Source organism: Homo sapiens, chromosome 3 (genome assembly GCF_000001405.40).
Source record: "Homo sapiens chromosome 3, GRCh38.p14 Primary Assembly".
NCBI classification, from domain to species: domain Eukaryota; kingdom Metazoa; phylum Chordata; class Mammalia; order Primates; family Hominidae; genus Homo; species Homo sapiens.
The window spans coordinates 197,305,424-197,320,760 of NC_000003.12; positions in this window are offsets into that span (position 1 = coordinate 197,305,424).

Here is a 15,337-nt window from a genome sequence, read left to right on the forward strand (position 1 = left end):
GGTGGCTCACACCTGTAATCCCAACACTTTGGGAGCCCAAGGCAGGTGGATTGCTTGAGGTCAGGAGTTTGAGACCAGCCTTACCAACATGGTGAAACCCATCTCTATTAAAACTACAAAAATTAGCCAGGCATGGTGGTGCCCGTCTGTAATCCCAGCTACTCAGGAGGCTGAGGCAGGAGAATCGCATGAACCCGGGAGGCGGAGGTTGCAGTCAGCTGAGATTGTGCCACTGCACTCCAGCCTGGGTGACAGAGCAAGACTCCATCTCAAAAAAAAAAAAAAAAAAAAAAAAGGAATTTAGATGCCCAGGCTCCCACATATTCAGACCGGTGACCATCTTCCCTCACTCCTCCAAAAGGCAAGAATTTGATTTATTGGAGAATAAGAGAAGTTTTAGATTTGGAACTACTAGACTCAGAGGAAGATGGTGGTGCATTATAGTACAGGAAACTAAGGGAAAATCTGTGTATTGAACAGAGATAACTCCCTCACACCCACCTCCTTCTTCCTGCTAGCCATAGCTGGAGTACCCTTCAGAGAGAAAAATGGAATTGCCTCAGAAAGATCAGTAGATACTCATAGTTGGAAGGCTTACAACGAAAGCCTAAGCCATCAGAAAAATGCAAATAAAAACCACAGTGAGGTAGACTTCACACCCACAAGGATGGCTCTGATCAAAAAGACACAGCTGTTACCATCATAACAAGTGCTGCAAAGGATGTGGAGAAATCAGAACCCCCATACACTGCTGCTGGGACTGTAAAATGGTGCATCCACTTTGGAAAACAGTCTGGGAGTTTTTTGAACACTTGGACATGTAATTTCCATAGGATGTGACAATTCCACTCCTAGGTATACACCAAAGACAACTGAAAACACGTGTCTATACACAAATATTCATTACAACATTATTCGTAATAGCTAGAAAGTGGAAACAACGCAAATACCCATGAATTGGTAAATGGAAAAATAAAATTGGTACGCCCATGTAACATAATATTATTCAGCAAAATAAAGAAGTGAAGTACTGATACATGCTATGACATGAGTGAACCTTGAAAACATTATGCTGAGTAAAAGAAGCAAGTTACAAAAGACCACATACTGCAAATTCCATTTAGATGACATATCCAGAAAAGGCAAATCTGTAGAGAGAAAAAGTAGATTAGTTGTTGCCTAGGGTTGAGGAGCATGGGATGGAAGGGGTTGGAAGGTGAGGGCTAAGGAATGAGGTTTTTTTATTTTAATAAAAATGTTCTAAAATTAACAGTGGTTTTGGACTCACAGTTCTGTGAATATACTAACAGCCATTGAACTGTGCAGTTTAAATGGGTGAATTGTATGGTGTGTGAGTTATATCTCAATAAAGCTGCTTAAAAAAAATGTCAAGCTGGTCATTTTATTGCCCTTCAAGAATGCAGACCAGGCCAGGCACGGCCTGTAATCCCAGCACTTTTGGGAGGCTGAGGTGGGCGGATCACCTGAGATCAGGAGTTCGAGACCAGCCTGGCCTATATGGTGCAACCCTATCTCCACTAAAAATACAAAAATGAGCAGGGCGTGGTGGTGGGTGCCTGTAGTCCCAGCTACTCAGGAAGCTGAGGCAGGAGAATCACTTAAACCCAGGAGGCGGAGGTTGCAGTGAGCTGAGATCGAGCCACTCCACTCCAGCCTGGGCAACAGAGTGAGAATCTGTCAGAAAAAAAGAATGCAGACCAATCAATGAGCCTCTCAAATATCTCAAATATACACAGAGCCTCCAATCAGCTCAGCTTTCAACAGGAGGAGCCAACCAAGGGTCACCACACATTATGAGAAGGCTTTCAACCTGAGGCTGGACATGGCGGCTCACGCCTGTAATCCCAGCACTTTGGGAGACTGAAGTGGGTGGATCACTTGAGGTCAGGAGTTCAAGACCAGCCTGGTCAACATGATAAAACCCCATCTCTACTAAAAATACAAAAATTAGCCAGGTCTGGAGGCATGAGCCACTGCACCCAGCCTCACTAGGAAGATTTAAATGTGGTTCTGCCTATAGACAATTTTAAAATTACTTCTCAGAACCTTTCCAAATTTAATATGTATGTGAGTCCCTAAAATTCCTGGAAACAAATAGAAGATCCCCTTAGAGTGAAAAAGTCAAGTTTCTTCCTCCTCCTAATGACAAAACTCCATGTAAAATCACTATTTAGGCTAGGCACAGTGGCTCACGCCTGTAATCCCAGCACTTTGGGAGGCTGAGGCAGGTGGATCACCTGAGGTCAAGTGTTCAAGACCAGCGTGGTCAACATCGTGAAACCCTGTCTCTACTAAAAATACAAAAATGAACCGGGCATGGTGGCAGGTACCTGCAATCCCAGCTACTCAGGAGGCTGAGGCATGAGAATTGCTTGAACCCGGCAGGCAGAGGTTGCAGTGAGCTATTGCGCCACTGTACTCCAGCCTGGGCGACATAGCGAGACTCCTTCTCAAAACAAACAAACAAAAACGAATGGATTTAAACAAGTTGGCAAGTCACTTTGCGTGCCACTACATTTTGAAATGTCAAGGGGGATTGGGATGAGAAAGTAATTCAAGAAATTGCTATATATGATGAAAGACTGAATACACACCAGACCATATATGACAACAGAACTCTGTGATCCACAACCTCTGCAGCAAGCAACCCAGGAAATCAGACAACAACCACTGCAGTAATTGGCCTAAAATAATCAGAACTTGGTCAATGACTGCCAGCTTCCCTATTTTTTTTTTTTTTTTTTTGAGACGGAGTCTCACTCTGTCGCCCAGGCTGGAGTGCAGTGGCGCGATCTCGGATCACTGCAGGCTCCGCCTCCCGGGTTCACACCATTCTCCTGCCTCAGCCTCCCGAGGAGCTGGGACTACAGGCACCCGCCACCACGCCCGGCTATTTTTTTTGTATTTTTTAGTAGAGACGGGGTTTCACCATGTTAGCCAGGATGGTCTCGATCTCCTGACCTCGTGATCCGCCTGCCTCGGCCTCCCAAAGTGCTGGGATTACAGGCGTAAGCCACCACGCCCGGCCCAGCTTCACTAATTTTTACCATCTTTCAACTCAAGGCCAATCAGAGAAAGGCAAGTATTCTCCCTAAATCAATCATACAAAATGCCTTGCTTCTAGTTATCTTGCCTCCAGCTTTTCCATACCTGAGGATCTCCTTTTCTCTTCTTTTAATTATAAAGCTTTCCTACTCCCTTGCCTGCCTTTGAGCCTCTGCCAAATGCAAGTGACGGTGCTCACTCCCTCGCTATAGCAAGCTCTGTATAAATAGCCTCTGTTCTCATTCAGGTGGTCATCACTTACTTCCACAGACAGGGAAAGTTCCTAAAAACAGACAGAAAAATTGTTTAGTCTGCTACTTTAATAAAAGCCTTATTCATCAGGTCATTCAGTAAACTAATCTGTATGATGCAACTACTATGAGCCAGGAACTAAAACAAATTCTATTTCTCTAGGAAAATTTGTCTGAGAAGGAAATTGCAAAGCTGAAGCCTTGGGACTTGAAAATTCAAATCTTCCGTCTTTGTTTATGGTCTGTAGCAGGCAAACAACTTCGAACTTCTCAAGGTTGCTTGGCTAAACACGAACGAGTGGATGAAGAGAACACCTCAGCAATAAATATAATGCCTGGAAAAGAATTTTACTAAGAACAATGTTTTTTATGCCACTTTTTAATTTTTTTAAAAATTTCTCATTACCTCTGAAGATTTGTGACACTATTGTTTGAGCCATTATTTTTTAAATGATACATATAACTGCTTGTCTAGGATGGTTTCTCTTTCTTTCTCTTTCTCTCAATTATCTTCAGTTTTCTAATCTAGACCACAAAGTTCTCCATTAATAAAGTTGGCAAACAAAGTGTCTGAAAACATTTTGTTACAGGGAATGATATTCTGCTAAGTTTTACTGAAGATGGAATTTTCATTAGTACTGCTAATGAACCATTCTTATTCCTTTTGGGAACTATGATTTATTAAAAGAATTGTACGTTTTTTAAAAACACCAAAAGAATTACACTCATTCATTTTCAATATGACTAGGGTATTTGCAATAGAAAACTTAGTGAGTATTCCCTAAAGTCACGGTGGCTTTTAAACACTGCATAATTCTGGGTATTAACATCAGGAAAGCATTGCACTGTTCCTCATTAGAAGGATAATGCCATTATAATAGCTTTACTCTGAGGCATAAAGCGGTTAAATGAAGCACCAGAAAAGGAAAAGCAAAAGTTTGTTTGGTGAATCATTCTTTTCTATGGTTTGGTGACCCTAAATTGAGCCAGAAAAGAATGCAGCTAGTGGCTTAATTTGAAGAATTTCCCAAGGAAATGATGCAATACTGTACAATTCTTATTGGTCTCTAACCTCTGGGATCTCTGTTCATGAAGCTGCCTATTAACACAGCTTTGCAAGTTAATTGTGAACAAATCAGGAGAGAATAAAAACTCAAACATAAATCTCTGATCTAACCACTTCATTTAGGAAGGGATTTGGAAGATCTTCTCGGACCAGTGTTTTTGATTCTCTTCTTTGCATTGTGACCTTATACTGGAAACTCAGGTGTGACTGCTATTATTCTGGTCCCAAGTGCCAGGAAGTTCAGATCAGGTTGAGGGCAAGCTCAGGCCAGGGTGACTCTGAGGTCAGGCTATTCACATGTCTTTTCTTAGGCTAGGATCGCTTGAGGAACACAACCACGTTGCTGGGGTTAATAGATCTATTCTCCAAAGCCAAAGTATTTGGCATGGTCAGCATAATTGTACTGTGTGTTGCAATTGGGCTCTGAGCACAGAGTCTTGCTGAGTGCCTTATGAATTTGGTCATGGAGAGAAGGCTGGTGCAGGAGTGAGCAAGGGAAACTCCTATTCAGAGAAAGTTTTTACTCCAGAAATCACCATTCCTTAGGAGAAGATTGCTTTAAAAAATTTTTTTTTAAATTTTTTATTTTTTGAGTTGGAGTCTCACTCTGTCGCCCAGGCTGGAGTGCTATGGAGGGATCTTGGCTCACTGCAACCTCCGCCTCCTGGGTTCAAGCGATTCTCCTGCCTCAGCCTCTCCAGTAGCTGGGATTACAGGCACCCGCCACCACACCCGGCTAATTTTTTGCCATGTTGGCCAGGCTGGTCTCGGACTCCTGACCTCAGGAGATTTACCCGCCTCAGCCTCTCCAGTAGCTGGGATTACAGGCACCCGCCACCACACCCGGCTAATTTTTTGCCATGTTGGCCAGGCTGGTCTCGGACTCCTGACCTCAGGAGATTCACCCGCCTCAGCCTCCCAAAGTGCTGGGATTACAGGTGTGAGCCATCGTGCCCGGCACTTTAAAATCCTTGACTCCAGTCTTCTTTAATGTAAAAGATAGCTTTCCAGGGACGTGATTAGATCAGAGATTTTATTGCACGAATAACAAACTCTTTTAGCCAGTCCAGAGCGAGCATTAGCAGCAGCATTACTGCATCAGTCCCTCTGCCCCAAGGAAATCCCTCCTGTCCATATAGGATGCTATTGAGGATAATGCTGATGGATAATGCCCTTGGTGGCTGTAGAGGGAGCCTGGGTCTCCAGAGGCTCTAGAGATTGGTCAATGCACCAAGCTTAGTTATCAATGAAAAGATTGCTTATCATGCCATTGCGCTCCAGCCTGGGCAACAAGAGAGAAACACTTCAAAAAAAAAAAATTGCTCGCTTTCAAGTAGGAAATGTGAAAGCCTTAAGAACAAGAAAGGCTCAATTCTTCAATCAGTTCAGTTCAGTTCAAGCAATATTTAATACCATCTATTCACAGATGAATACAAAGATGAATATGGCACAGCTCTTGCCTTCAAGAAACTTAGAGTTAAATGAAGGAGGTCCATAGAAACAGATAATTTAAGTCTAACTTGATAGGCAATAAGAGAGGAAGCCCTGGGCTGAGCCCTGAAGGTCTGATAAAGCAGTCAAAGGAAGAAGGGTGGAAATACGTTTCCAGACTGGGAAGAGGAGAATGAAAGGCAGCAATGAGGCCTGGGAAATTCAGAGGCAAGCCTGTTACAGTGAGGGTTCTTCCTGCTATTACAGATTTAGGAGTCTAGATTTCTTTGGTTTCTGAGATGAGGAGTCTGTCTCTCCATTTGCATGTGATGGCATCATGACCTTTACCGTCAGAAGCTGTATTCAGCACCTCCACTGAAGTCCCTGCTGAAGCATTGACAATGTCTTCCTACACAATGGTTTAGCCTTCATCTTTCTCTTCCTTCCCTTTTCCCCCTTAAGTTCTCATATCATTTGACATTTCTCCCTCCCTTTTTGTTGCTTCCTCCTGAGCTTCTCCAAAATGACCTCATTTAAAAAATATTTTATAAGTTATATATATTTGCACAATGGAATGTCACATTACCAACAAAGGATGACAGAGAGCTACATTAAACAATGTGGATAAGCTTTCGAAACGTAGTGCAACTTTTTTCTCCTGTATTTTATTTTTTAGGATTATTGAGATATAATTGGCAAATAGAAGTTACGTATATTTATAGTTCACAATGTAATATCCTGGTAGATCTAAAAGTTGTGAAATAATTACTTTCAGCTAATTAAAGTATCCATAACCTCACATGTTCATCATTTTTTGATGGCAAGAACATTTAAAATCTACTCTTTCAGCAATTTTCAAGTCTACACAATGCTATTATTTATTTATTTATTTACTGAGATGGAGTCTCACTCTGTCACCTAGGCCGGAGTGCAGTGGCACAATCTCGGCTCACTGCAACCTCCACCTCCTGGGTTCAAGCAATTTTTCTGCCTCAGCCTCCCGAGTGGCTGGGGTTACAGGCACGTGCCACCACGCCAAGCTAATTTTTGTATTTTTCGTAGAGACAGGGTTTCACCATGTTGGTCAGGCTGGTCTTGAACTCCTGACCTTGTGATTCACCCACCTCAGCCTCCTAAAGTCCCGGGATTATAGATGTGAGCCACCACGCCCGGCCCACAAAGTTATTATTAACTATAGTCACTGTGCTGTAAAATACTTGTTCATCCTGTCTAACTGTGAGTTTGTATCCTTTGGCCAATGTTATCCCATTTTCCATACACACACCATATCCCCTGGCAACCACCATTCTACTCTGCCTATGGTTTGGGGGTCATATCCAAAAAAGTCATTGCTCAGATCAATGTAATAGAGCTTTTCCCCATGTTTTCTTCTAGTAGTTTTACCAGTTTCAGCTCTTCAGTCTAATCCTTTCTGATTTGTTTTTTATATACTGTATGAGATAAGGGTGCAATTTTTTTCTTCTGTGTGTCAATATCCACTTTTCCCAACACCATTTATTGAAGAGACGGTGCTTTCCACATTGTGTCTTCTTGGCAACTTTGTCAAAGATCAATTGACTGTAAATATATGAAGTTATTTCCAGGTTCTCTATTCTGTTCCATTGGTCAATATGTCTGTTTTTATGCCAGTACCATGCTGTTTAAATTACTAAAGCTTTACAGTATATTTTGAGATGAGGTAGTATGATGCCTCTAGCTTTATTCTTTTTGCTCAAAATTATTTCTGTAAAAATATTACTGGACTCTTGATAAGGATTGCATTAATTCTACAGATCTCTTTGGGCATTTAGCAATGACCAAAGTATGGACATTTTAACAATATTAATTTTTCTAATTCATTAATTTTTCATTGATCTTTTATTTATTTGTGTCTTCTTCAATTTATTTCATCAATGTTTTATAGTTTTCAGATCGTTCATCTCACTCTCTCCTGGCCTGCAGTTTCTGCTGAGAAACCCACTGATAGCCTTATGAGGGGTGATCTTTTTTCTCTTGCTGCTTTCAGGATTCTCTCTTTATCTTTGTTTTTGTTTTTTTTTGTTTTTTTTTTACAGTTTGATTGCTATATATCTTGGTATAGTCTTCTTTTAGTTGAATCAGATTAGAGACTTTTGATCTTCCTGTACTTGGATGTTTATATCTTTTCCCAGATTTGGGAAGTATTCAGGAATTATTTCTTTAAATAAGCCCTCTGTCTCTTTCTCTCTCTCTCTTCATCTTCTTTTCCTGCCCCCCGTCCCCCATTTATTTTAGCTTCAGGGGTACATGTGCAGGTTTGTTACAGGGGTAAATTGCCTGTCCTGGGGGTTTGGTGTACAGATTATTTCATCACCTGGGTAACAGGCATAGTACCCGATAGATAATTTTCTGATCCTCACCCTCCTCCCACCCTCCACTCTCCAGTAGGCCCCCTGTGTCTATTGTTTCCTTCTGGAAGAACGGACTCTGGATATTAGACCTTTGTTGGATGAGTAGTTTGCGAATATTTTCTCCCATTCTGGAGGTTTGTCTGTTTACTCTGTTGGTAGTTTGTTTTGCTGTGCAGAAGCTTTTTTGTTTAATTAGGTCCCATTTGTCAATTTTTGTTCTCGTTGCAATTGCTTTTGGCATCTTCATCATGAAATCTTGTCAGTGCCTATGTCCAGAGTGGTATTTCCTAGGTTTTCTTCTACGGTTTTATAGTTTTAGGTTTTACACTTAAGTCTTTAATCCATCTTAAGTTGATTTTTGTATATGGTGAAAGGAAAGAGTCCAGTTGCAATCTTCTGCATATAGCTAGCCAGTTACCCTAGCACCATTTATAGAATAGAGAATCCTTTTCCCATTGCTTGTTTTTGCTGACTTTGTCAAAGATCAGATGGTTGTAGGTGTGCAGCTTTATTTCTGGTTCTAATCACATTTATTGATTTGCATGTGTTGAATGAACCTTGCATCCCAGGAATAAAGCCTACTCGATTGTGGTAGATTAGCTTTTTGATGTGTTGCTGGATTCAGTTTGCTAGTATTTTGTTGATGATTTTTGCATCTCTGTTCATCAGGGATATTGATGCTTTCTTTTTTTGTTGTGTCCCTGCCAGGTTTTGGTATCAGAATAACATTGGCCTCATAGAATGAATTAGGGAGGAGTTCCTCCTCCTAAATTTTTTGGAATAGTTTCAGTAGGATTGGTACCAGCTCTTCTTTATATGTCTGGTAGAATTTGGCTGTGAATCCATCTGGTCCAGAGCTTTTTATGGTTGGTAGGCTTTTTATTACTGATTCAGTTTCAGAACTTATTATGTTCAGGGTTTCAATGTCTTCCTAGCTTAATCTTGGGAGGTTGTATGTTTCCAGGAATTTATCCATTTCTTCTAGGCTTTCTGGTTTGTGTGCATAGAAGTATTGGTGATAGTCTCTGAGGGTTTTTTTTGTATTTCTTTGAGGCAAAATGACCTCATTTTGTAAAACAGTGAATTCTAAGCTGAATTTAGTTCTCTAAGATGGCCCCATTCATGAGAAACCTTCCAGTTCCCAGCATACTGCTCCTAGGGTATTTAAACACCTTGGCATAAGGCTGTCTGGGGAGCGAGCCCATCAAACAAGTGTTGGGTTACTAGAAAGTCACCCTAGTTGAGAAGGAGACTAACAGGGATGGATGGCACAGTGAGGAAGAGAAAAAGAGAGGGAAGAAGGTGGTAGTAAGGACTGGGGCTCTCCTGGTTAACAGCCACTCTCTTGACATTTCCAGCTCCTTCTGCAGATCCAAGCTCACCTATATGAGGATTATTACTTCTTGGAATCAAAAGAAGTGATTGACACCATTACCAAAGCATTCTTTAAAGATCTGCCATTTTATGGGGTGCACCTAAGAATTCCTTTTTCTTTAATATTTTCTTCTAGTTTATGTGCTCAGTGAAGAAACATTAGAAAACAGAAAAGCACTAAGAAAAAAAAAATTAACCAAACTCACACAAGCCAAAGATAACAGCCAACTAACATTTGCTGTAGATATGTCTAGTATTTTCCATGCATATATATATATATATGTTTCTTAGAAAAATAGTATCATACATGTTATTTTGTAGTCTGCTTTTTTTAAGGAATTTACATTTATTTTATAGCTTCAAAAAGGCTTGGTGCATGATAATGACAGAAAATTAAGGATCTATACAAGGGATATTTACCCCCGGGAAGATGTATGTTACAACTCAGTTAATGCGTCAAATGTTAAATGTTGTGATACCGGCGTTTTATTTAGATGTTTCCCATTTATGATGATTGTTAAACATACATCACATGTCTACACAGACATACACCTTCCAAGCTGGGAATCAGGTCTGAGTGATCCTGTCGGTGTTCTGCCCACAATTTCATGAGTGACCTTAAGCAAATCAACTCAATGCTGCTTCTCTAGATAAAGTCCCAATCTTGTCTGGCACATCCAGCCGTAAAAACTCCTATCCAGTTCCCGGAATGTACCATGCTCTTCCGTGCTGCCATATTTTTTAACATCATTTTTTGGGGGGCCTAAAACACTCCTTCCTATCTGCCTCATTAACTCTTCATTATCTTTGTAAATTAAAAAAAATTTAAATTATAGTAAAATAGATATAAAATACACCATCTTACCCTTTTTTTTTTTATTCTGAGACAGAATCTCACTGTCACCCCAGCTGGAGTGCTGCACTGGCGTGATCTCAGCTCACTGCAACCTCTGCCCCCCCGAGTTCAAGAGATTCTCCTGCCTCAGCCTCCTGAGTAGTTGGGATTACAGGTGCCTGCCACCATGCCTGGCTAATTTTTGTACTTTTAGTAGAGATGGGGTTTCACCATCTTGGCCAGGCTGGTCTTGAACTCCTGACCTCATGATCCACCTGCCTCGGCCTCCCAAAGTGCTGGGATTAAAGGCGTGAGCCACCGCGCTGGGCCTTACCCATCTTTAAGTGTACAGTTCAGCAGTGTTATGTACATTCCCATTGTTGTGCACCCGATCCCCAGAGCTCTTTCATCTTGCAAAACTGAACCTGTACACACATTAAACAGTGTCTCTGCATTCCTCCCTCTCCCCGCTGCGAGCGATCGCTGTTCTACCTTCCGCCTCTAGGAATTCCACTGCTCTAGATGCCTCATGCACGTGGACTAATACGGTATTTGTCTTCTTTGTAGCTGGCTTATTTCACTTAGCATAATGTTCTCAAGGTCCAACCATGTGGTAGCACGTATCAGAATTTCCTTCCTTTATAAGGCTGAATTAAATTCCATTGTATGTATGTACCTCATTTTGTTCATCCATTCATCTATGGATGGACATTTGGGTTGTTTTTATTGTTGGTTGCTATAAACATGTGTGGACAAATTATCTCCTCAAGACCCTACCTTTAATTCTTTTGGGTATACACCCAGAAGTGAAATTGCTGGATCAATTGCTGATGGTCATTCTATTTTTGTAGCCTCCTTTTAAAACTTTGCTTTTTAGTACTTATTTTCCCCAAATTAATAATTTCTCAGGTAAATAAGAAACCAATCTTTTACAGAATAGTTTTTTTATCATCCATAGAGTGTTTTATCAAATGGCCATACTTATTAAATTGGTTGCTTCCAGATTTCCATTATGAAAAACCATGCTAGATAAACAAATGTTTATCCATAAGATGAATTCTTGGAAGTGAAATTACTGGATTAAGAGGTGTACATTTTAAAAATATTGATGCATAGTGTTATGGTATATGTACAAACTTCTAAAGGTTTATTTTTATGAAGCATCAGCCTCTGTTGCCAGCACTCTGTATAAGCAGGGCAAAGGCTGGCAGCTTAAGTACTCTCTAGTCTTTTTAAACTTTACCCTCAAAGAAAATAAATCTTTATACCAAAATTCTTATTCAGAAGTGAAAGTGTTATATAAGTCATCATTGACAGTAAACACAGTGAATGATCAGATCTTGCTGCTTAAATTTTAAATTAATATAAGTAATATCAAATCCATTTTTAAATGGTCCTCCCTCAGTAAACATAAAAAGTTCCTTCAAATTCATATATTATTTTTCAGATTACAAACCACTTCCACTTATGTTTTCTTACATATTCCTTATAGTTAGTTATTGTTTTCCCTGGTTTACACATGAAGAAATCGAGGCCCAGAGAAGTGACTTGCCTGAGGCAACAGAGCTGATAATCAGTGTCTTCTAGTTCCAAGTACATTGCTTTTCAAGCTGCGGATGACTCATCTTAACCAGTCCTTGAGGTCTTGTAGTAAGTAAGCATAGTGGAGACTTTTCCAAGCTTCTTTTTCAAACCAGAAAGAGGTAGTCGTGGTTTTTGGAAAGTAGCTAAAACTATGATTTAATAAGAGGGAATTTTGTAGCCAAAACCTAGTACATAAAATATAAATAGCCCTCCTTCTTTCCCCTAGAATTGTGCGATGCCCTTTGTGGTGCTGGTATGGCATGGTGTCAAACGTGTGGGCTCCGGCGTCATCCTGCTTGGACTGGAATGTTGGCACCAGGATACTAATTTTGTGATCTGAACAAGTCAACCTCTCTGCACTTCCATTTCCTTACCTGCAAAATGTGTAACAAGACCTCCCATCTCAGTGGAATGTTGTGAGGATTGGATGAGATAATGTCGGTAAAGTAATTAGCACTGTACCTGGCGCAGGCTCACTGCCTGATACATAGTAATCCTTACTACTAGGTGTTAAGGACCTAAGTAACACTGTTCCTCTGTTTTATCCTGGGGAGAAGGGTACATGAAATGGGCTAGTGAACAAGTTAAGAGAGAAAATAGCCTTCTCTGATCCCTCGGCTGATTAAAGAAGGTAATTAGAGGCTTCTCTAGTAAAGTGTAGGCTCATATCGTTCAGTTCAAATATTTTTTAAGTCTCCCTAGTTATTTCTTCTGTTACCAACGGGTTATTTAGTAGTTATGTTGTTAAACTCCAAATGGTTGAGGATTTCCATATATCTTCAGTTATTAATTTCTATTTTAATTCTGTTGTGATCAGAGACGGTGAATGTTCAATGTGTACTTTAAAAGAACGTGTATTCTGCTGTTTTGGGAAATATTGTTCTAGAAAACGTAATGAGTCAAATTGGGTGATAGTGTTCTTCATGTTTTCTATAACTGGTTTTTTGTAACTTGTTCATGTTTTCTATTGCTATTGTTTTTCTATTTACTTTGTCTATCAATTATTGAAATAGGACTTTGTGGAAAATTCTAACTATATGTGAATTCCTCTAATTGCCCTTTGCCCTTTGTTAGTTTTTGTTTCATGTGTTTTAAAGCTTTGTTATTAACTGCACATCCATCTAGAATTGTTACATCTTGCTGAATTAACTCGTCTACATTATGAAATACCCGTCTTTATTACTGTAATACCCTTGGTCCTGAAATCTATTTTGTCTGATATTAATATTGTTGCTCCAGTTTTCTTATAGTCAGTGTGTAATGTATCTCTTTCTACCTTTTTTACTTTTAACCAGCTTGTCTTCATATATTTAAACTCCTTTTTTTGTAGAAAGTATTAAGTTGAATGTTGCCTTTTTATCCATTATGATAATATCTGCCTTTTAATCAGGATGTTATGACTATTTACATGTAATATAATTACACTGATTACATTTAATATAATTAAATCAATTAATATAATATACTATAACATAATATAGTTAGGTGTAACTCTACAAGCTTACTTCTTTTTTTTTTTTCTGCTTGACTCATCTGTTCTTTGTTCCTTTACCTCTTCTTTTCCTGACCTCTTTTGGAGTAAGTGATTTATTTCTTAGGATTCTATTTTATCTCCACTGTTCCCTTACTAGCTATAATTCTGTTTTATGTTTTAGTGGTTGCTATAGGGCTTGTAATATGTATTTTTAACTTACCACAACCCACCTTCAAATAATATTAGCACTTCAAGCATAGTATAAAAACTTTACATCAGTGTATTTCCATTTTCCTTCTTAGGTCCTTCATATCAATGCTGTACATTTTAGATTCCTATTTATTGCAAAATCCACAATATGTCATTATTAACTTTGCTTAGAACAGGCCATTTAAATTTAAATATAGTAAAAATCGGAAAAAATCTTTTATATTTACCCACCTATCTACCATTTTCAGAACTCTTCATTCCTTAGGTAAGCCTGAGTTTCTGTCTGGTTCCTTTTCCTTCTGCCTGAAGATATTCTTTTTAACATTTATTATAGTGAAAAATCTGCTGGCAATTACTTCTCTCAGCTTTTTAAAATCTGAAGATGTCTTTATTTTATCTTTGTTTTTAAGAGATATTTTTTCCACAGGCTTTAGGATTCTAGGTTTGCCATTTTTTGTTTTCTTTCAGCAATTTAGAAATGCCTTCCCATTGCCTTCTGGCTTGCATTATTTCTGGAGAGAAGTCATCAGTATTTTTAAAAATCTTCGTGCCTCTGTATGTATGTCTTTTGTTGTTGTCGTTGTTGTTGAGACGAGGTGTTGCTCTGTTGCCCAGGCTGGAGTGCAGTGACACAATCTCAGCTCACTGCAAACTGTGCCTCCCGGGTTCAAGCGATTCTCCTGCCTCAGCCTCCCGAGTAGCTGGGATTACACGTGCCCACCACCACACCCAGCTAATTTTTGTATTTCTAGTAGAGATGGGTTTTCACTATGTTGTCCAGGCTGGTCTCATACTCCAGACCTCAGGTGATCTGCCTACCTTGGCCTCCCAAAGTTCTGGGATTACAGGCGTGAACCACTGTGTAATATGTCTTTTAAGATTTTTTCTTTTTCACTGGTTTTCTGCAACTTAATTAGGATATGGCTTGATGTAGTTTTGTCTTTGTTATGTCTCGTGGCTTGTTGAGCTCTCAGATCTGTGAGTTCATAGTTTTCATCAAATTTGAAATATATTTGGCTATTATTTCTTCAATATTTTTTCTGCTTTCCCTTCTGGAACTCTAATTACAAGTACGTTAAACAGCTTGATGGTGTCTAATAGGTCACTAAGACTTGGTTTATTTTTTTTTCCTCTCTGTGCTTTGGTTTGGAAAGTTTTCTATTACTATGTTTTTAAGTGCATTGACCTTTTATTTTACAATGTCTCATCTGCTGTCAACCACATAAAATCATAATCATTTTATTTCAGATATAGTATATTCCTACTCCACAGAGCACCATTTGGTTCTTGGGATGAGGAGGTGTCCCAGGATCATCATCATAGATCAGTGGACTTCCTGCTTATAAATGCCAATATATTCATAAGAAAAAGACGGTTGAATCCTGCCAATCCATAGCACAATGGCTTTTGTACTCCAGGGGAAACTGGTAGTGGTAGCAAATATCTTTTATTTTTCCTTAAACAATTTAACAAAGGGAGTCAGGTACGTTAAAGAACTCTGGAGAGTCAATCAGGTTTGTGTGTGTGCCACAATTTCTTGAGGTGGAGAAGCTGAGCTTTTTTCCTAAACACCAGAATGGAAGAGGTCATAGGACAGTAAGAATGATTAATAATGCCCTTAGACTCTGGTGCTTATATGACCCCTAGCCAAGTCAC